Source organism: Homo sapiens, chromosome 2 (genome assembly GCF_000001405.40).
Source record: "Homo sapiens chromosome 2, GRCh38.p14 Primary Assembly".
Lineage (NCBI taxonomy): Eukaryota > Metazoa > Chordata > Mammalia > Primates > Hominidae > Homo > Homo sapiens.
This window is the reverse complement of record NC_000002.12, coordinates 230,371,303-230,392,726: the sequence shown is the minus strand read 5'-3', so window position 1 is coordinate 230,392,726 and position 21,424 is coordinate 230,371,303. Positions and strand designations below refer to the sequence as shown.

The 21,424-nt window shown below is 38.7% G+C and overlaps 1 protein-coding gene across 21 annotated transcripts in view; it reads right to left on the bottom strand.

Moving 5' to 3' along the window:
• Nucleotides 1-21,424, bottom strand: part of SP140L (SP140 nuclear body protein like) — a 76,540-nt gene that overhangs the window by 11,006 nt on the left and 44,110 nt on the right. For 10 of the 21 annotated variants that reach the window (XM_047446412.1, NM_138402.6, NM_001352892.2 and 7 more), the window contains 6 exons: nucleotides 21,076-21,129; nucleotides 9,152-9,217; nucleotides 7,423-7,503; nucleotides 4,094-4,168; nucleotides 2,704-2,808; nucleotides 498-640 (listed from right to left, as the gene is read on the bottom strand). In XM_047446412.1, the coding sequence (XP_047302368.1) occupies nucleotides 498-640; nucleotides 2,704-2,808; nucleotides 4,094-4,168; nucleotides 7,423-7,503; nucleotides 9,152-9,217; nucleotides 21,076-21,129 (524 nt within the window). Of the gene's footprint in view, nucleotides 1-497; nucleotides 4,169-7,422; nucleotides 7,504-9,151; nucleotides 9,218-21,075; nucleotides 21,130-21,424 lie in introns of those variants that run through there. The other 11 variants (NR_148198.2, XM_047446413.1, NM_001352893.2 and 8 more) reach the window with 4 other exon arrangements.

Below are 21,424 nucleotides of genomic sequence, written 5' to 3'. Positions count from 1 at the left end.
ATCAATTACAGATTTGAATTACTTAGCCCGGCATTAAAGTGCTCCACAGACAACCCCAGTTGCTGAATTGTGCCTTATTGTACACAACCCATCTACCTAAATCCACAGAGCTGTTAATATTTTTACTATGGTTCTTGTTTTCATGCCATTCTGGTTTTCAGGTCATTCTTTCTCTGAAGTGTCTTCTTGCCCTGCTTGACTATCGACTCTCTTCTTTTTCTCAGTGCACAAAATTGTCCACATGCACCCTAGTCAGAATTACCCTTTCCTCCTCCAAGCTGCTGAGTCTATCCTGATGGAGCCCCTGGTACAACATCAGTGTGTTGCACTGTAGTGTGGTTATGGATATGGGGTCCCTCTCTCCTGAGTGAGAGGATAAACTCACTGGCATCAAGGCTTTAGCTATAACCTAACAAATATTTGGTGAATAAACAGTCTCCTCATTATTAGGGAACAAGAAGAATGGGCACAGGTCTGGCCTCTTGTCATTGGAATACCTCCATCAGCCGTCGTAGGGGCCACCCGCCACAGCGCACACTCAGCCTCCAGTTCTTTGATCTTGCGTAGCCTCCTTTGATTTCAAATTCCATGGGGGTGAACCATTTTCCATCCTCAGTCTGTATACACTTTGCCAAGGTTCCTGTAAGACCAGGGTAACTTGATCCTGAGCCCTCTTTGTTCCCAGCGCTCAGACTGTGGCCACTCACCACATTGGATCTAGAGCCACCCAATTTGTGATGAAGATCAATAGCAGGAGGGTCTGGCCTTCCCTCTCAGACTTCAGAGGCCCCAAATCCAGCCTGAAAGTCCCCTCTAAGTATATTTCCTGGTGGGGGTGCACATGTCTTTGACCTTCACCCATGAGGAGAGTGATGGTTATCAGCAAGAGCAACCTTTTAAGCATTTCAAAAGCACTTACAGAAGGAAAAGCAAGTGATTCTGAAAGATGAGAGGACTCCAACTTGCTGTTGAATTCTGGGAGTAGAGACCAGGCCTGAGTCTGCAGATGGCTCTGGAGGCAATGTGGAGGCAGAATCCTTACTTAGGGGTACAGTCTGAGATAGGTGCCCTGTGGCTCAGGAGGCCACACTGGCAACATATGCACCTTCTATTACAACATTTTTCATTCAGTTTTAGGGCATTATTGAACAGAGATTTTCTCATCTGTGCAATCATGGGCAGCTGATATTAAAAAATAATTGTGAAATGTTACCTAATAGAAAAATTAAGTTATATATAAAAGATAGTCAACCCCATCAGCCATTAGGGAAATGCAAAGCAAAACCACAATGAGATACCACATCACACTCACTAGGATGATCATAATAAAAAAGACAAACAATAACAAGTGTTGGTGAGTGTGTAGAGAAATGGGAGCCTTCATACATTTCTGGTGGGAATATAGAATAGTGCAGCTACTGTGGAAAACACTTTGGTGTTTCCTCAATAAGTTAAGAATAGAATTACCATTTGACTCAGCAATTCCTTTCTTGAATATACACTCCAAAGAGCTGAAATATGTTCACACCAAATTTGTTACATAAATGTTCAAAACAGCATTATTTATAACAGCCAAAGAGTGAAAATAACCCAAGTTGATGAATGGATAAACAAAATGTGGTATATCTATACAATGAAATATATGATTTATCAAGAAAAGAAATGAAGTACTAATACAATATGAATGAACTTTGAAAACATCATGCTGATTAAAAGCAGCCAGTCATGAAAGGGGATGTATGATAGGATTCCATTTGCAGAAAATGCCTAGAATAAGCAAATTTATAGAGCAGAAAATAGATTAGCAGCTGCTTAGGGCTGGGCATTGGGGTGAGGTGGGAATGGGCATTGACTACTAATTGACATGGGGTTTTCTTTAGTGAAGGACAAATTGTTCTAAAATTAGGTGATAATAATGGCTGTACAATCCTGTGAAAATACAAAAAAAATCATTGATTGGTATACTCTAAGTGGTGAGTTACATGATACATGAACTGTATTTCAGTTAAGCTGTTAAAAAAAGTCACAATGAAAATGTTTATATTAATTGGTGCTCAAAGAGCCAAGTTAAGAGAGGTCTGAGATGAAGGCCATTCTGATAGACATTTTTGACAGTTTTATAATTTTCAATCGTAAAATATTTTACATTAATATGTAAATTAATTCTCACAGCTACATCATGAGGTAGGTTTTTAATTATTGTTCCCTCTCTTGGATGAGAGATTTCACATTCAGAAAGGTCCCCTTCTCTACTCAGAATGGAACAGTCATTCCTGGCACAGCCAAGGCTGGAACTCAGGCTTCCTAATGTTAAAACCTGTGATCATCACCCAAGCCAAGCACCCTGCCTTGGTGACAGCACTCCAGAAGGGAGAGAGAATATGAAGCTTGAGGTTGAGGGCCTCTTCCCTTTTCTGTCTGATTCAAAGTAAAATACCTGACATTTTCCATCTGTGAATTGACGTTCCTGCCTTCTCTTTTGTTCTTTGGGTACCCCCTGGACACTCCATGTGCGAGTCAGCGTCTAATGGGTGTGATTTCTTAAAGTCTTAAAATGTCATCTTAGGGATCCCTTCCTCCTTCCCTCAAGCTAAACTGGGCCCAAAACTCCTTGAATGATGTGTAATTCACACAAATAATTTCACCACTTCTTGTGATGCCTTCAGATAGGAGCTGCAAATTAAAGAAGACTATGAAACCCACCTTGTTCCAATTTCTCCTTATGTAAAATTCCCTTCACCCCACCACAGGTCACTGGAAGTAAAGGAGCCTGAAAATCCACAGTTTCATCTTTGTGCTTTCTTGAAGCTGAAAGAGAGGATTTCTTCATTCTGTCTCACTTTGCAAAGGCACATCCCCCCTTCCCACTGAGGTAAATCCTATAAAGGCACAAAGAGTACTTAGGAAATTCTATTCCATAAATCTCTAGAGTTTCAAAGTCTTTCTTCCAAGTGGCATTTTTGATCGGTAACTACAGAATGTGTGCCCCAATTTCACCTTTCAAATTTCACAGAAAATTGAATGCTTTATCAGAGAAATTAGACTTCAGTAAAACTGTTTTAACTTCCAGTGTAGTAAGCTCCACTGATTCTTATATGACAATGAAACATACAGTTGTTGTCATTGGTTTGATGGGCGCTCTCCAGCTATTCTGTTTTGCTGCAGTTAGGTAGCCAGAGATGAAGCCAGAGACCATAATCAGTCTCCCATTTGGGCACTGACTGGTCAAGGAGGGAGAGGCTAATGATGAGATAACCTAATGGAGACAGCACCTGCCTTCTACTTTTATTCTCTGCTTTGCTCCATTTTCCCCTCCTATCAGCTTTCTCCACAGCTGAGAAAGGAGCTCAGGGAGCTCTAGAATAATCTGAAAATTGTACCTAGCAGGGGGTGGGGAACTGAGAACCGGATACTACAGAAGTAGGTGTGAAAGTTTTTCAAAGAAAAACTCCAGGAGGATGAGCAGCTAATCCTGCCCTTCCAAACAGAGGTGTAGAGGCCATGATGGGCAGGGGAAGCGGTCTTTGGTCCTGAGACTGGTTTTGAAAAGGGCACACTATTTAGACTGGGATGGACTAATAAGAAGGGTGGTTGGCCTAATTCATCCTCTAGCTTCTCAGATGAGGAAACCAAGGCAAAGAAGGCCAAGTGGTCAGCACAAGATCACACAGTCAAAGATTTTTTAAAAAGCCAAAAAGCCTTAGGACACAGATCTCTAACCACAACTCTGGTTCAACCTTAGTGTGCAACATGTGGCTTTCTGTGTAGCCAGAGGAAGATCAGCTAAATCACTTACGGGTTATACCCTTTATACAGCAATGGCCTATCTTCAGCCTTGAAATTTATCATTTCAGTGGAAGTAGCACTTTAGTGACCCCCTGGGGCCCCAGGGTCTGGTTGTAGATCCATCACCAACTTACTTCCTTCTTTCCTTGATACATTTTGGAAAATGACTTAATAAGATATGTTTTTCAATAGTTAGTATAGCTTCATAAAACAATTAAAGAAATAGGTTTATTACTGAAAATACAGCATAAAGCACAGGAAATTAGATGTTTAGTTATTGAAAGTGCATTCCTCTTTTCTTTTTTACCTCTTGATCGGACTCTTTTCTGTGGAGCTCTGTCACTCTGAGTAAAGTGGGTTCCAGGTTTGCCTCTCTTTCTCCCTGAGAAAGTAGAATAATAAAATCACAGTTACAAATGAGCAGCTGTGTTACATATATTGCTGCTTTTCAAAAATTCCATTTAAATGTAACTTTCCAAAAGCCTGTTTAATATATAAATAAAAAGATTTAAACCCTAGCCTTTAAGGTATGAAGAATTAGATAGCTAATGTTAGGTTCACTTTATATTTCATTTTCCTATTCTTACATTAGAAAAAAACTAATTGAAATCAGTATTTCACATATAACTCAAACAACAGTATAAATACTTCATTCCATATTTTGAAGGTTCATTTCATATTTTGAAGTTTCATTTCATATTTCATTTCAAATATATATTTGAAATATATATATGGCATATAATATATGTTAAACACACATCCACTAATTTAATCTTTGCAAGATCAAAATGATGATTACTGTCATTACAGAGACTAAAATATTCAGAGAAAATTGAGACAAAACTACAAAATTAAGTGAAGGTGTTTGGGTTTCTCTTAGCAGAGACACAAATAAATGGCAGTTCTGTGAGTTAAGGGAAACCCTATTAGGTGCTCCATAGGTGAGATGTATGCTGCACATATCACATTGGGGGAAGATATTTGTACCCTTGTGCTGAAAGTAATAGTAAATGTGACCAGGGCTTCGTTCACATGGCTTTGGAAAAAATAAATATTAGGATCTAAGAAACTAATCAGAAGAAGGTTAACCATGAGGAATGGGTAGAATTGAGACTTCCACAGCCTTCATTCCAAATAGTAATTAAGGATTGACATGGCAGACACTGCAGCCGACGACGTTCTCCCAAGTGCATGTTAATTGGCTGTGAGTGGGCATCTCAATGTTTACTAATGTTCAAATGTGTTTTATTTTCCAAAGCAGGAAAGCAAAATGTTCCTTCCTCCTTGTGCTGGATGTCCACCATCCAATGACCACCATCTAGGGATGCTGGTCAGGGTCATGTAGGCCCCATGGAAAAATATTTTCCAACCTACTTATTCCTAAGTGCTCTAAACTCTAAGCATATTATGAGCATATTAGGCCAGCAAAGTAGAAAGGACCAATCGGACCCAAAGTAGACCTATGGCTTGGTAATATAATTCCACTTTCTGGTCTTTAGACTACACAGTTACTGACCAGGTTTTTACCCATTTAAGACCCAAATGGCCCAAGGAACCAATATTGATAATTACAGACATCTTATCCCAAGATCAAACAAGTTTCAAATTTGCAAGTTGTCATCCTGTTAATATTTAACCAAGATAACAGGCACTCAAAGAAGAGCTTTAGAAGAGTTTAATAAACTTGTATAGGGAGGTAGGAGGCTTGTATAGTAACAGCCAAGGGCTAAGAAAAACTACTAAAGAGGTGGAACTGTGGTTCTCCAAGACGCATGTTAATCTTTTTGCTCCATCTTGCTGCCTGCCTCTGGAAGATGAGGTTTCCAGGCAATAGAACATCAGCCACACAGGTGTGGCTCTCTGAGAAGCTCTCCTCCCCTCCTCTCCCACGCAAGATGCCAAGTGGACTCTGGAAGTCCAGGACATCTCCAGGTCTCTCCTCTTCAATGCTTCACCCCTCCCTCCTCTCCTGAGGGTCCGCACTCACCGTACAGTGAGAATAGATCCAGATGTCATATCCTTGCTGCTCTTTTCCCTCCTATATTCCAGCCAGGCTTGGCACTAGAGCTCTGGCCACAACCTTGAACAGTCCAGCTAATACAGAGTTATTTCTTCCTTTCTCTCTAGCTGTTTCTGTCTGGTTACATCTTTTCTGGGACTAGTGGGTATGTCGGATTTAGCTTTCATTAAATCTGTTTAGGCCTCATATTTTTAGGGAGAAAAAAGAAACAACATGAAGTCTACTCTAGTCTATGGAGGTTTTGGTACAGAACAAACTGGAGCTTAAATCCAGCAAATTCATAATACAGCACTACTGTGTTTTACTCTCAGAATCAAGTGGCTGAGCAAGGCAGGATTCAAATATTATTGTGTCTCAGGCTGTAATACCCATTTAACAATACTGAAACCCTAACATAAACCTTAATAAATACTATGGTGGTCAGAATATAATTTAAAGTTGTTTTAAAATAATTGTTATGGTTGGTATTAACCTCTAGAAAGAAGTGTGACAGAGTTTTCAATTTCCTCCTGTTTTCTCAAAATTTCACTTCAAGTCCCAATGGTTGGGAACAATCCAATAAGTACCAAGTAGAATGACCAATTGTCCTGGTCTGTCCAGGACTAAGGGGGTGCCCAGGACATGAGAGTTTCACTGGCAAAATTGAGAAAGTCCCAAGCAAGTAGGTTGAGTTGATTACCCAAGTTCCAAGCACCCGCATCCTAGGACAATGCACCAGTCCACCTATGGGACCATAGAAAGAGTTGGTGGAACTGATTATGCCAGGTTCAGCCCTTCACTCACACCCAGGTTGTAGAAGAAAAGCTCTATTTCTTTCAAAATAAGTCAAGCTGTGATGCCTGACCCCTCCCCTTCCCTTGCAGTGGACTTGATGAAAGCATCTCACGGAAGAAAGAGCTAGTGATTGTGCATCAACCACTTGCAATGTCATTTCACGGCTGCACCTGTCAGGCAAGACACTTCCACACTCTGATCTCACCCCTTTCTCTCACCTCCCCAATCCTGGATGGGACCAAGCCAACAGCTATGGAGTGGGGGTAGGGCCAAGACAGAATAAGAGAAGACACTGGCCATGTCACCCCCCAACTATATGTGTTCCAGACTAAGGCTTGCCCAGGCTGAAGGAGGGAAGGTGCTTTAAACTGGGGAGGACATTGGAGTTTTAATACTTGGTCAGAAAGACTCTCAATTACTGAAATGAGACTCTTATTGTTGTGAAAAGGGAACAGGAAAGCGATAGGGCTTGCTCAGGACAAGAAATAACTTATCTAGGAGGAGGACTTCAAAGGGCAGTGGGAAAATAAACCTGTATTCTGCTTACAATTTACCAGGTCCAGCCATTTTAATTAGCCAATGATTTAAGGCAAAGGAATTCCCAGGAAAATCAGATAAAACACAGAGGAAAACAACTTTAGAACTTGGACAGATAAGATCTATGATATGAATACAATCAACTTACAACTCTGGCTTCTAATGGGTTTGCTGTTTTTTAGATTTCACTGCTCTGAAATTGACTAAGTTTGACTAGTAAACAATAAAGCTTCTAGGCTCCTCAAAACCTCAACATGTGCATTGACCTGCAGGGCAAATGAAAAGTGGTACCAACTTTATCTTACCCCTAATCTTGGAAAGGTCTTTCAGATTCATGTTCGCCTTCTTTTCACTCGAGACCAGCTGGCCATCGGCTTTGCTGTTATCTGGGGATAGGCAAGGGAAAATGTATTAATAGAACTGGGCAGAACAACAGCTCACAGGCTGGACCAAACGCAAGTGAGGGAGTCCTGGGTTTCACTCTGGATCCCCTCGAGCAGGTGTCCAGAGCATTTTCTGCTTTGGGGAGTGTTGACTTCTAAATTACACACAGAATTTAACCGTACATTGAAGTCTCTTAGAATGTGTTAGGATAATACACACAGACTTAAATGAAAATGTTATAATGACTCAGTCCAAATAATTTTTTAATTTGAAAACACCCATTCTTGTTTTTTGTTTGTTTGTTTTGTTTTTTAAAGACAGAGTGTTTCTCTGCCTCCCAGACTGGAGTGCAGTGGCACAATTTTGACTTGCTGCAACCTCTGCCTTTTGGGTTCAAGTGATTCTCCTGCCTCAGCCTCCCGAGTAGCTGGGATTATAGGCGCCCGCCACCACATCCAGCGAAATTTTGTATTTTAAGTAGAGACAGGGTTTCACTATGTTGACCAGGCTGTTCTCGAACTCCAACCTCAAGTGATCCATCCGCCTCAGCCTCCCAAAGTGTTGGGGTTACAGGCATGAGCCACCATGCCCGGCCAAAAACACCCATTCTTAAAATAAATGCAACCACTTGTTTTTCTTTCCAAACACAAATGTACATCCACAAGCCGGGCAGACACTTAAACTGGCAAGAACAGAAGAGCAGAAGATAGATGATTGGTGAAAAGAAACAATTTTCAATAGGACTCTAAAATCTTACTATACAGATCCACTGATTCAAAACTGAGCATCATTTGGAAAATAAGACAGCCTTCATTGACTAGGAGAAAGGAAATCCTTAGACCATGACTAAAATAAATAACATATATAATTATGGAAAATTCAGAAAATAAAATGGTCTAAAACATCATCATCTAGAGATAGCCACAGATGAGGATGGCTGTCTCCAGATGGTGATTTGTTAACAAATATTCTCCTAGGCTTTTCTTTTTGCATATGTTGCCTTTTAAAGACCATTTTTTCATTATAAAAGTTGAAGATTTTTAAAATTTTAATACAACACATATACTTAAATACCACAAATAAAAATATAAACATCACCTCTATTATACTGACTAAATGTAACCACTGCATATATCTTTATAAATGAACAGCCACTGATTTTTCTATAGCTTTATATCTCTTCATACACACAGATAAATAATTGCATATATCTATGTAAGGATTGATAGATACATAAAAACATACTTTCACAAGTATAAATATTTCACATAAAATATGGTTATATATATGTATATATATATTTTACAGTTGCACACACATACACATACACCTTGCTTTCTTCACTTAACCCTCTTAAGAACATTTTTCCAAATTAATAAAAATTTCTTGAGCTACTGAAGAAAGTCATACTGAGGATGATAAGACCTCCCTATTAACTGTGGGCCTCTGGACTATTACATGCATTAGAAACCATTTTGTTGAAGCCATTGCATTCTCAGGCCTCTTTGTCACAGCCTGTTGGTCTACATCCTAACGGATACAGGAAGTACAGAACTCTCCTGGCCCTCGTGAACTGCAGGCCTTCCAGAATACAATGGACAGCGCCTTAATAAACTCAAAAGCTGTAACTACTTCACTTTGCCTGCTTACCATTTTGTTGGTTGTTTTTCTGCGTTCTCGTTCCCATTCTGCTCCAGCCATGCCCCTTCTTTTTTCCTTCAAACCAAAGAGAATAAAGTTAATTATACAGAGGAATAAATATAATTATTTGAGCTTTATATGCTAGTAGTATACAAGATTTTTTCATACTTTGGTCCACAGGAATGGGGCAAAATTCTTTATGATCAGTGTAGCAGTGTGGAAGTTGAGTACAGAGTCCTATTTTAATTCTGCATGAGCCTTGGGCCATGGGCTTGGGAGAGACTATAAGAGATGACCTTCCTTTGAAACAACATTTTTAATGGAAAATTAACTCTTGCTGGCACCTTAAAGTGAATGATAACTGCTATTTCATGTTGCTTTTTCAAGTGTTTGTTGTGTAAATTCACATGTGCAATGAGAGGACATCCTCCTTGAGGTTGATGGTGTTATGGATAATATTCTGTACTGGAAATTGGGAGATATTCTGAACTCTGATATGGAGAGTTTTCATTATGCAATTACATAATCATTATAGAATTTCTATATAATTTCATTAAGTAATAGCAGTGACTCCACACTGTCAGCCCTCCTTCAGGCTGCAGAGCAGCTGACTCCAGGGATGCTATGGTGACCCCAGAAACTCATCAGTGTCCTGAATCTGGCTGTCTGGACCATTTGCAGTCTGATGTGCCCTTTATCAGAAAAGTGACTCCACAATGCACTGATTTTCTGACGTCCCTCATCTCCTCCTGTCTGCACACTATGGGAGGGCAGTAGGCTCACTGAAGGGAGCAGTCCCCAGAAAGGGATCATCTCCTTCCCGGATAGTGACCAGGACAAAAGTGGTGGGGATTGCAAGTGTTCTGTAGACCTATCTTGAAAATTCAGGATTCTGTTGTGACCCTGGTCATTCCTAGGGATGATGCCTCATTCTTTCCCCATCAGCCTGGTAGGCACAGCCTTCTGAGTGCCCAGGGGATTCAGATTTCACTCCAGACACAGCTAATGAAAATGCTTTTGCTCTACTTGTATCTAATTTTGTGGATGGAAGATCTAAGTGAGAAAAGAGACAATTAGGAGAAAAAGATGAAGGTACAGCCACCAGAATGGTACAGACAGATTTTGCAGCAGTGAAGCAAGAGCAAAAATCCAGAGATCTAAGGCAGGAACACCTCCAACCCTAGGAGGTATGGAGGAAGCAGGAGCATTGGTGATATCTGTCTCTCAGAACTACCCTGGATCCTTTGTCCAGAAGGAAAACACCCTGCTCCAGTGCTCCCACCTCTGAGAATGCTGAGTCAGCCTCTCCGCACCAGGCATGAGACGGCAGGGGCTGGGCCCAGCTTCTGAGGTCCCACATAGAACCCTCTAGACATTGTCCCTACCCCTGTTCTCAGTCATTTGTTGGGGTGGGTGGGGGGGTGACTGTTACCTGGTTGGTGTCATGGACAAAGAGGATAGATTGGACAGACTGTCCTCAAGCAGTCCCCTCACATGCCCACCTCTCCCCAGCCACACACACAAACAAATCAAGGACTGGACACAACGAACAGAACTGGGAACCCCAAGGCTTACAGACAGCCAGGAGCCATGTAGGAGGAGGCACTGTTCACCTTCCCCCTGACAAATGTACATCCCACTCAGGGAAGCTCAACAATTGTAAACACTTCCCTTCTTCGAACACCTTGTGTGCTCTGGGGATTGTGCTTATTGTATGAAAGCCAGGCATTAACTTGCTTGCCTCACATAAAGTGACTTGTACCTTAGAGGTGGTCAGCTGGTCATAAGGGACCTAAAGACCTAAAGCATTCACGGTTTATGAAATGTGTGTGTGTGTGTGTGTGTGTGTGTGTGTGTGTGTGTGTGTGTGTGTAGAGAGACAGGGTCCCACTATCTTGCCCAGGCTTGTTTTGGTTGTTTTGCTTGTTTTTGGACTCCTGGCCTCAAGTGATCCTTCTGCCTTGGTCTCCCAAAGTGCTGAGATAACATGAGTGAGCCACTGCACCTACATTTGCAATTTGTTCCTACAACATTTAACAAATCAAATATATCTGGACCCATGGGTCAAATTAATCAGAGTGGCTGATGGGGTAGTGTCTTCATGAGGAAATTTGCCAGAAGCAAAAATGTGGGAAGAATTTGTTGAGAAGCTATTCTCCATGGCATTTCTGTACTCACGGTATCAGGGTATTGCTTCAAGGATGTCAGAATAGCAAGCAGCCTTGGAAGCTAGAGATCATGTAGCCTCCAGATTATAGGGCAAATTTATTCCCTGACCAGTATAAAGTGGAGAACATCTCCCTCCTTAGAAATTTTCCAGAGGAGATGTCCCCAGGAGAGATTTGCTTAATATCCCCAGAGGTGAGTTGCTTACGTTCCAGCTAAAAAGATAATATCTCCCTCGGAGGTAAGGTTTGGGCAGGTTTGCTAGCAGTCGCCTAGCTAGCAAACCCCATGGGTTTCCTCAGTGAAGCATTCCTCCACTGCAGCACACACTTGTGAGTGCACCATCCACCTGGGCTTCCTCTGCACCATCCTTTTCTTGGGTCTTGAGGGGAAAGAACTGATGCGTCTACTCTATATCCCAGCAATTTTGCTCCTAGGTATTTAGATAAGAGATATGAAAAAACAGGAAGACTTCTACAAGAATGTGCTGAGGAGAGTTTTCCTAATAGCAAAAAACTGAAAATACTTGAGGTGACGTTCATCAGGAGAATTATAAACAAAATTCAGTATATTCAGACAATGGACACTAGCAATGAAAACAAACAAATTACTGATACATCCAATGATATGAATGAATCTCAAAAACATGCTGAGTGAAATAAATCTCACAATAAAGAGAACACGCTGTAAAACCTTATTTATATAAAGTTTTTTAAAAACCCAAATTAAGTTATCATGGAAAAACAAAGAGTAGTGATTGCCCTGATAGGTAGTGGGTGGAGATATACCAGAAAGGATATAAGGAACCTTTCCAGGGTGATGATCATGTTCTGTATCTTGATAAAGATTTCGATGGTGCAGAAAAGTGTGGTTGTAAGAACTCATCCAATGGTACTCTTAATACTTGTGCATTTCATTGTAAATTTTATCTTAAAAAAAGAATGCATGCAGAAGTATTTGAGGGGGAAGGGTACTGATGTCTGCAACCCTGAAATGTTTCAAACTTGACCATGAGTTATTGAGCGGATAAAAAAATGTATATATGGATAGTGACATGGTTTGTCTGTGTCCCTACTCAAATCTCATCCTGAATTGTAGCTCCCTTATTCTCATGTGGGAGGGACCCAGTGGGAGATAAAATTGAATCGGGGGGCAGTTTCCCCTGTACTGTTCTCATGGTAGTGAACAAGTCTCACGAGATCTGATGGTTTTATAAAGGAAACCCCTTTCACTTGTTTTTCACTCTGTCTTTGCCTGCTGCCATGTAAGACGTGCCTTTCACCTTCTGCCATGATTGTGAAGCCTCCCCAGTCACATGGTACTGTGAGTTAATTAAACCTGTATTCTTTTTCCTTACAAATTACCCAGTCTTGGGTATGTTTTTATCAGCAGTGTAAAAATGGGCTAATACAGATAGAAAAGCGATAAAGCAGGAATGATACAATGTTATTTGTGAATCTGTGTGAAAGTATATTGATGTTTAGTATACAATTCTCCCAAGACTTCTGCATGCTTGAAATTTTCATGATTAAAAATTGGGGAAAAAAGCTTTTAGAGAGAAAGGACAGAATATTTACCAAAAAGTTATAGTTACAATAAAAGAATGATTTTTATTAGCCATACCATAGATTCCAGAAGACAATGTAGTAATCACTTTACTATACTGAGAATAAATAAATATCAACCTAAAATTTTTAACTTAGCTAAAAATTTCTATCAAAAGAAAGACAAATTTGTACATACAACACTTAGAGAATTTACCACTTAGAGATCACTCACTAGAAAAACTAAAGAATTCACTTCAGCTAGACAAAAAGTGAAACCAAAGAAAAAGAACAATGGTGAGTACATAAAATGATTTAAAAAATTGATTTAAGTAAATATCAACTGTAAAAATAATAGTTTCAAAATTTATAGTTAAAAATTAAATATTAAACAATAATAGCCAAATGGTAGAGATGGGGTATTCAATTTGTAGTGAAACCATTACAAGATCCTTGTCATCTCTGGGGTTTGGGGCATGATTAATAAGATTACAGAAATTTTGTCTTTAATTTCCAAACCAGCAGGGGGAAAAGGGAGAATATAGAATTTTATATCAATCCATCAGAAATCAGGAAAGAGACACACAAAAAAACACAAATTAAGAATGGTCAACACTACCACAGAAGATACAGGTCCATATACATCTGGAATCATAATAAATGAAAACAAATAAAAATTCATTAAAAAGCTAAGATTATCAGATAAAATTGCAAAAGCTAAGTGCTGTTACAAGAGACATAAAACAAAGCTGCACAAGATGGCTTAACATAAATTGAGTGAAAAATATGAAAAAAAAGTTTATATAACAACATTAGCACTTGGTAAAAGAGATTTTAAGGCAAAAGCACCAATATGGATAAAGCAGAATGCTGTATAATGATAAAAGAAAAGAAATCCACTAAGAGGTTATAAAGTCATTAATGGTCTCAACATATTTAAAGAAAATGAACAAAATAAGGAGGAATTGGCAAATATACAACCTTGTGTGAGAATTTAACAAGTTTCTATACAAATTTGATGGAGGAAATAAATTACTATGAACCCATATTTAAACAACAAAGTTTTGCTTTATAAAGATATGCATGGAGTGAAGCCAGAGCCTAACAAATAGCTCAAATGTACATTATTCTCAAGTGGCATAGAACATTTACAAATAATGACCACACATTAGGATGCAAAGGAACATTTAACACATTTTAAATAATTGGCGAAGTCAATTCATATTGTTTTCCACATATCTACTTTCCACTCCTGATCAACTAAAAGAATACCTCCAAGACTGCAGACATCGATATTTCCAGAGAAAAACCACAGTTCATAACCTCTCTCACACCTGACATGGCCACCAGTTTAAGATCTGACCACTAAGATGAGAGCAGAATATTGTGGGAGGAGGGGAGTTCCGGAGAAAACTTCTCGCAAAAGTAATAGGCCTCTGGGGAAGATAATTTTGCTCTTCACCCTTTCTCCTTCTGACTGCCTAGAACATGGACATTGTGGCTGGAGCTTAGCAGGCACCTTGGACAATGATGTAATCTTGACAGTAGCTGAGCTGCAAGATAGAAGAATCTTCAAAATGCACGGGTCTGAAATAGCCAAAACAATTCTGAAAAACAAAACTGGAGGTCTTACACTACCTGATTTCAGGATTTGTAAAACTGTAGTAATCAAGATGGTGTATTGGCATAAGAATAGACATACAGATAAATGGAACAGAAAAAAAGTCAAGTAATAGACCTAAACATATATGGCCAACTGACTTTCAACAAGGACGTCAAAGTAACTAATTCAATGCAGAAAGGATACTTTTTTCAACAAATTATGATGGAATGATTGAGTATCCACATGCAAAAAAAGAAAAGAAATCAATCTTTAGCTCAAACTATATGCAAAAACTAACTCAAAATGGGTTATAGATCTCAATAAGCGCTAACACCAAAAACTTGAAGAAAACATAGGTTCTTGAGTTAGGAAAAGATTCCTTAAATAGGACCTCAAAATCACAGATTATAAAGGAAAAATGGTAAATGTAGACTTTATAAAAAAATTAAAGTTTTACTAACACTATCAAGTATTGGTGAGTATGTGGAGCAATGAGAAGCTTCACACATTACTGGTGGGAATGCAAGAGGGCATAATCATTTTGAAAAACATTTTGGCAGAATCTCAAAATACTGAACATACATGTATGTTCATATGACCCAATAGCACCACTCCTGGGCATTCACTCCCCAAAATAAAACATGCCCAACCCAAAGATTTGTGTTCAGATGTTCCTGTCAGCTTTATTTGTAATAGCTGAAACTGGAAACACCTCAATGCCTATCAACAGGTGAATAAACTATCTGTAATGTATTCATATAAAGAAATACTTCTCAGCGATGAAAAACAGAGTAACTATGAACACACACAATAACATGGATGTATCTCAAAAGCATTATGTTAATTGACAGGGGCTAAACATAAGTAAATTCAATACTGTATGAATTCATTTATATGAAACTCCAGAAACGGCAAAACTAGAGTGATGTAAACAGATCAGCATTTAAAAAAAACAACCTGGGTTGGTGAGTTGTACATGCCTGTATTCCCATTTACTCTGGAATCTGAGGCATGAGGATCACTTGCTCAGGAGTTTGAGGCCATCCTGGACAACGTAGTGAGGCCTCATTTCTTAAAAGACAAACGAACAGAAAACAGATCAGCTGTTGTCAAGAATCAGAGACAGCTGAGAAGAACACAAGTGGACTTTGGGGTGATGGAAATGATACATATCATGATAGTGGAGGTATTTATATAACTGCACACATTTGTTAAAACAAATTCAGTTATACCTTAAGGTGATGAATTTGTTTTATATATAGCTCTATAAAGCAGATAAGAAAAATGAAAATGTGGAACATTTACATAAAGAAAATCCTATTGTTGGTGCCCTTATCAAAGATTACTTGAACATACATTCATGAGTTTATTTCCGGGTTCCCTATTCTATTCCATTGGTTTATGTGTGTTTTTATGCCAGCACTGTTTTGATTACTCTTGCTTTGTAATATAGTTTAAAATCATACGGTGTGATGCCTCCAGGTTTGTTCCTTTTTTTCAAGATTACTTTTAGTATTTGGGTCTTTATGGTTCTATACAAATTTTAGGATTCCTTTTTCCTATTTCTGTGAAAAATGTCATTGAAATTTTGATAGAGATTTCATTGACTATCCAGATCACTTTGGATGGTATGAACATTTTAACAATATTCTTCCAGTTTATGAACAGGATATGTCTTTCCATTTATTTGCATCTTTTTCAATTTCTTTCATCAGTGTCATAGTTGTCAGTGTGCAAATATTTCACCTCTGGTTAAATTTGTTCCCATTTTATTCTTTTTGTTGCTATTGTAAATGGGATTATTTTCTTAATTTCTTTTTGGATAGTTCATTGTTAGTGTGTAGAAACACAACTGATCTTTAAATCTTGCAACTTTACTGAATTCATTTATTAGTTCCAACAGTTTTTTGGTGGAGTCTATAGGGTTTTCTACGTAGAAGATAATGTCACCTGGAAACAGAGACATTTTAACTTCTTTCCAATTTGGATGACTTTTTTTTCTTGCCTAATTGCTCTGACTAGGACTTCCAGCAGTGTGATAAATACAAATGTCAAGAAGGGGCACTTAATCTTGACAAGGGTGCCAAGAATAAATAATGGAGAAAGGATAGCCTCTTCAATAAGTGGTGCTAAGAAAACTGAATATCCACAAGCAAAATAATGAAATGAGATATTTGGCTTGCATCATATACAACAATTAACTCCAAATAGATTAAAGGCTTAAATGTCAAACATGAAACCATAAAATTCAAAGAAGAAAACAGGGAAAAACTCCTCGATTTTGGTCTGGGCAATTATCTTTTAGATAAGACACCAGAAACACAGGCAACAAACGCAGAAATAAGCAAGTGGAACTGCATCAAACTAAAAGATTTGTACAGCAAAGGAAATAATTTTAAAAATGAAAAGGCAACCTATGGAATAGGAGAAAATATTTGCAAACCATGTATTTGATAAGGGTTATTGCCCAGAATATATAAGGAACTCACATAACTCAATAGCAAAAAACAAAACAAAATCATGTCATAACCTAATTTAAAAATGGGCAAAGGATCTGAATAAACTTTTTCCCAAAGAAGACATATAAATAGCCAATGGGTTATAAAAAAGCACTCAATATCACTAACCATCCATGAGAGAAATGTAACTCAAAACTATAATGAAATATCACCTCACACCTATTAGGATAGCTATTATCAAAAAGGCAAGAGATAACAAGTATAGGTGAGGGTGTGGAGAAAAGGAACCCCTGTATGCTGTAAGTGGGAATGTAAATTGGTACAGCCATTACAGAAAAGAGTATGGAGGTTTCTCCAAAAATTAAAAATAGAAAAACATGCCATTCAGAAATCTAATTTGGGGGTATGTATCCAAAGGAAATGAAACCAAAGAGATATCTGCACCCCCATGTTCATTGCAGCATAATTCACAGTAGTTAAGACATAGAAACAACCTAAGTCTCCATCAACAGATGAATGGATAAAGAAATGTGATAAGACACAGATCTGTGTATATTGGAAAATATATATAAAATCATGTTTCAAATCAAGAAGAAAAAAGTATTGGGGTTATATCTCTTAATTATCATCTCACATCATACACCAATAAATGAATTCTATGTGTGTTATAGATTTAAACATTAAAAAGTATTTCAAATATTCTACAAGCAAGTAAAAATGTTTTCAAATTATGAGGAGGATAATATATTTGTAAATTGTACACAAAACCTGGAAACCATAAATGAAAAGACTGACAGATTTGATCAGATAAAAATTTCAAACATCTTTGGGATAAAACATATAGGTATATCTTAGAAATATTGCACGTTTGGTTTCAGAACACTGCAATGAAGTGAATATTGCAATAAAGCAAGACACAATTTTTTTGGTTTCCCAGTGCATATGAAAATTATGTTTATACTATACTGTAGTCTATTAAGTATTCAATAGCATTATGTCTTAAAAAATCAATGGGCATACCTTAATTAAAAATACTTTATAGCTCAAAAAATGCTCACAATCATTTGAGCCTTCAGAAAATCATAATTTCTTTGCTGGTAAAGGGTCTTGCCTGGGTGTGGATGGCTGCTGACTGATCATGGTGGTGGTTGATAAATGTTGAGGTGGCTGTGACAATTTCTTAAAATAAGACAGTAAAGAAGTTTGCTGTGTTGATGGACTTCATGAAAGATTTCTCTGTAACATGTAAAGCTATTGATAGCATTTTACCACAGTAGATTCTCTCAAAACCTGCTGCTGCTTTATCAACTAATATATTCTAAATCCTTTGTTGTCATTTCAACAATGTTCACAGCATCTTTCCCAGGAGCAGATTCCATCTCAAGAAACCACTTTCTTTAATCATCCATAATAAACAACTCCTTATCACTCAGTTTTATCATGAGATCACAGCGATTCAGTCACATCATCAGGCTCCACATCTTTTTTTTTTTTTTTGAGATGGAGTCTTACTCTATTGCCCAGGCTGGAGTGCAGTGGTGCAACCTCTGCTCAGTGCAACCTCTGCCTCCCGGGTTCAAGCGATTCTCCTGCCTCAGCCTCCTAACTAACTGGGACTACAAGCACAAGCCACCACGCCCAGCTAATTTTTGTATTTTTAGTAGAGACAGGGTTTCACCATATTGGCCAGGCTGGTCTTGAACTTCTGATGTCAGGTGATCTGCCCGCCTTGGCCTCCCAAAGTGCTGGGATTACAGGTGGGAACCACTGCAACCTCCACTTCTAATTCTAGTTTTCTTGATATTTCCATCACATCTACAGTGACTTCCTCCACTGAAGTCTTAAACCCATCAAAGTCATCAATAAGGGTTGTAATCAACTTCTTCCAAATTCCTGCTAATGTTGATATTTTGACCTCCTCTCATGAATCATGAATGTTCTTAATCGCAATGTGAAATGGTGAATCCTTTCCAGAAGGTTTCCAATTGACTTTGCCCAGATTCATCAGAGGAATCACTATATATAAAGACAGCTATAGCATTACAACATGTATTTCTTAAATATTAAGACTTGCTAGTTGAAATTACTCTTTGACTCATGGGCTTGCTGAATGGATGTTGTGTTAGCAGGCATGGAAATAGCATTAATCACCTTGTATACCTCCATCAGAGCTCCTGTATGACTACGTGCACTGTCAATGAACAGTGATATTTTGAAAAGAGTCTTTTTTTCTGAGGAATATGTCTCAATGGTGGGTTTAAAATATTCAGTAAACCATGCTGTAAACAGATGTGCTCTCATCTGGGCTTTATTCCAATTATAGAGCACAGGCAGAGTAGATTTAGAATAATTCTTAAGGGCCCTAGGACTTTCAGAATGGTAAATGAGCATTGGCTTCAAGAGAAAGTCACCTGCTCCATTAGCCTCTAACAAGAGACTCCTCCTGTCCTATGGAGCTTTGAATCCAGGCATTGACTTCTCCTCTCTACCTATGACAGTTCTAGACAGAATCTTCTTTCAATGGAAGGCTGTTTAGTCTACACTGTAAATCTGTTGTTTAGTGTTGCCAACTCTATCAGTGACCTAAGCTAGAGCTTCTGGACAACCTGCTGTAGCTTCTACATCAGCATTTGCTGCTTCACCTTGCCCTTTAATGTTATGAAACAGCTTCTTTCCTTCAACCTCATGAACCAACTGGTGTTACCTTCAGACTTTTCTTATGAAGCTTTCTACATCTCACAGCCTTCAGAGAAGTGAAGAGAGTTAAGACCTTACTCTGGATTAGGCTTTGGCTTAAGGGAATGTTGTGGCTGATTTGATCTTTCATCCAGACCACTCAAACTTTCTCCACATCAGCAATAAGACTGTTCTGCTTTATCATTAAAGTGTTCACTGGAGTAGCACTTTTAATTTCCTTCAAGAACTTTTCCTTTGCATTCATAACTTGGCCAATTATTTTCTGCAAAAGGCCTAATTTTCAGCCTATGTCAACTTTTGACATAGCTTCCTCACTAAACTTCATCATTTCTAGATTTTTATTTAAAGTGAGTACATGTGACTCTTTCTTTTTTTTTTTTTTTTTTTTTTTGAGACGGAGTCTCGCTGTGTCTCCCAGGTTGGAGTGCAGTGGCGCGATCCTGGCTCACTGCAAGCTCCGCCTCCCAGGTTCATGCCATTCTCCTGCCTCAGCCTCCCAAGCAGCTGGGACTACAGGTGCCCGCCAACACGCCCGGCTAATTTTTTGTATTTTTAGTAGAAACGGGGTTTCACCGTGTTAGCCAAGATGGTCTCGATCTCCTGACCTCGTGATCCGCCCGTCTCGGCCTCCCAAAGTGCTAGGATTACAGGCGTGAGCCACCGCGCCCGGCCGACTCTTTCTTTAACTTGAGCACTTACAGGCCATTGTAGGGTTATTAATTGACTTAATTTCCATTTTTTCATCTAGGATTTTCCTATCACTCTATTTAAAATTCTTCCAACCTCTTTCCACTGCGCAATCTCAAAGACACCCCAACACTTTCAGGAATATGTGATAGCCACACCCCACTGCCAAGTACTAAAATCCGTATTACTCTTAATTGCTGCCATAACAAATTACCACAAATTTAGTGGTTTAAAACAACACAAATATATTATCTTCCAGTTATGTCAGTGAGAAGTGTGACACGGGTCTTACTGCCTAAAGTCAAGGTGTAGGCCTTCATTCCTTTCTGGGGGCTGGAAAGGACAAACTATTTCCTTGTTTTTTCAGCTTCTAGAGGTCATCCACATTCCTTGGTTCCCTCTTCCATCTTCAAAGCCTGCAACATTACATGTTTCTGATGACTCTTCCATAGTCACATTTTCCTTTCTCCACAGCCAGGAAAAGTTCTCCACTCTTTAAAGCCTACAAGATTAGATTGGGCCCACCACATAACCCAGGATCATCTCCCCATTTCAAGGTCTCTAAATTAATTGTATCTGTAAAGTCCCGTTTGCCATGTAAGATAGCAGATTACAGGTCCAGGGATTAGGAGGTGGACGTTTTTTGGGGTGGCCATCATTCTCTCTACCACAGTATTGCAAATAATAACAGAAACAGTAACAATGACAAAAAGAAAACTCTGGCATTAAAAATGTATTTGTAACATCAAAAGCAAGTAAATTCTTATTTATTCTTACTTCTTTTCCTCTTGGGTTTTCCCAAAGTAGAGTTGTTTGCAATATCCACAGTATCTAGAAAATAACAAGTGGTAGTGAGGAAACAGAAATTAATAAATAAAAGTTATAGATTTTAGGACAATTCATACTATAGAAGGCTTGAGTTTATAAAGATGTTTGGTTACTCATTTCTCTCTTTCTTCTAGAGGAACCAAAAACCCACTGAACTGAGAACTAGGAGTCTAGGATGGGCCCTGGGTCTTCTATCAAAAATACGTGTTGGGCTAAGAGTAGACCTGCAGTCTTCCCCCCTGACAATTAATACCAGGATTAGTTGTCTTTTGGGTGAGGCCTTTCTAAGGTGTAGCAA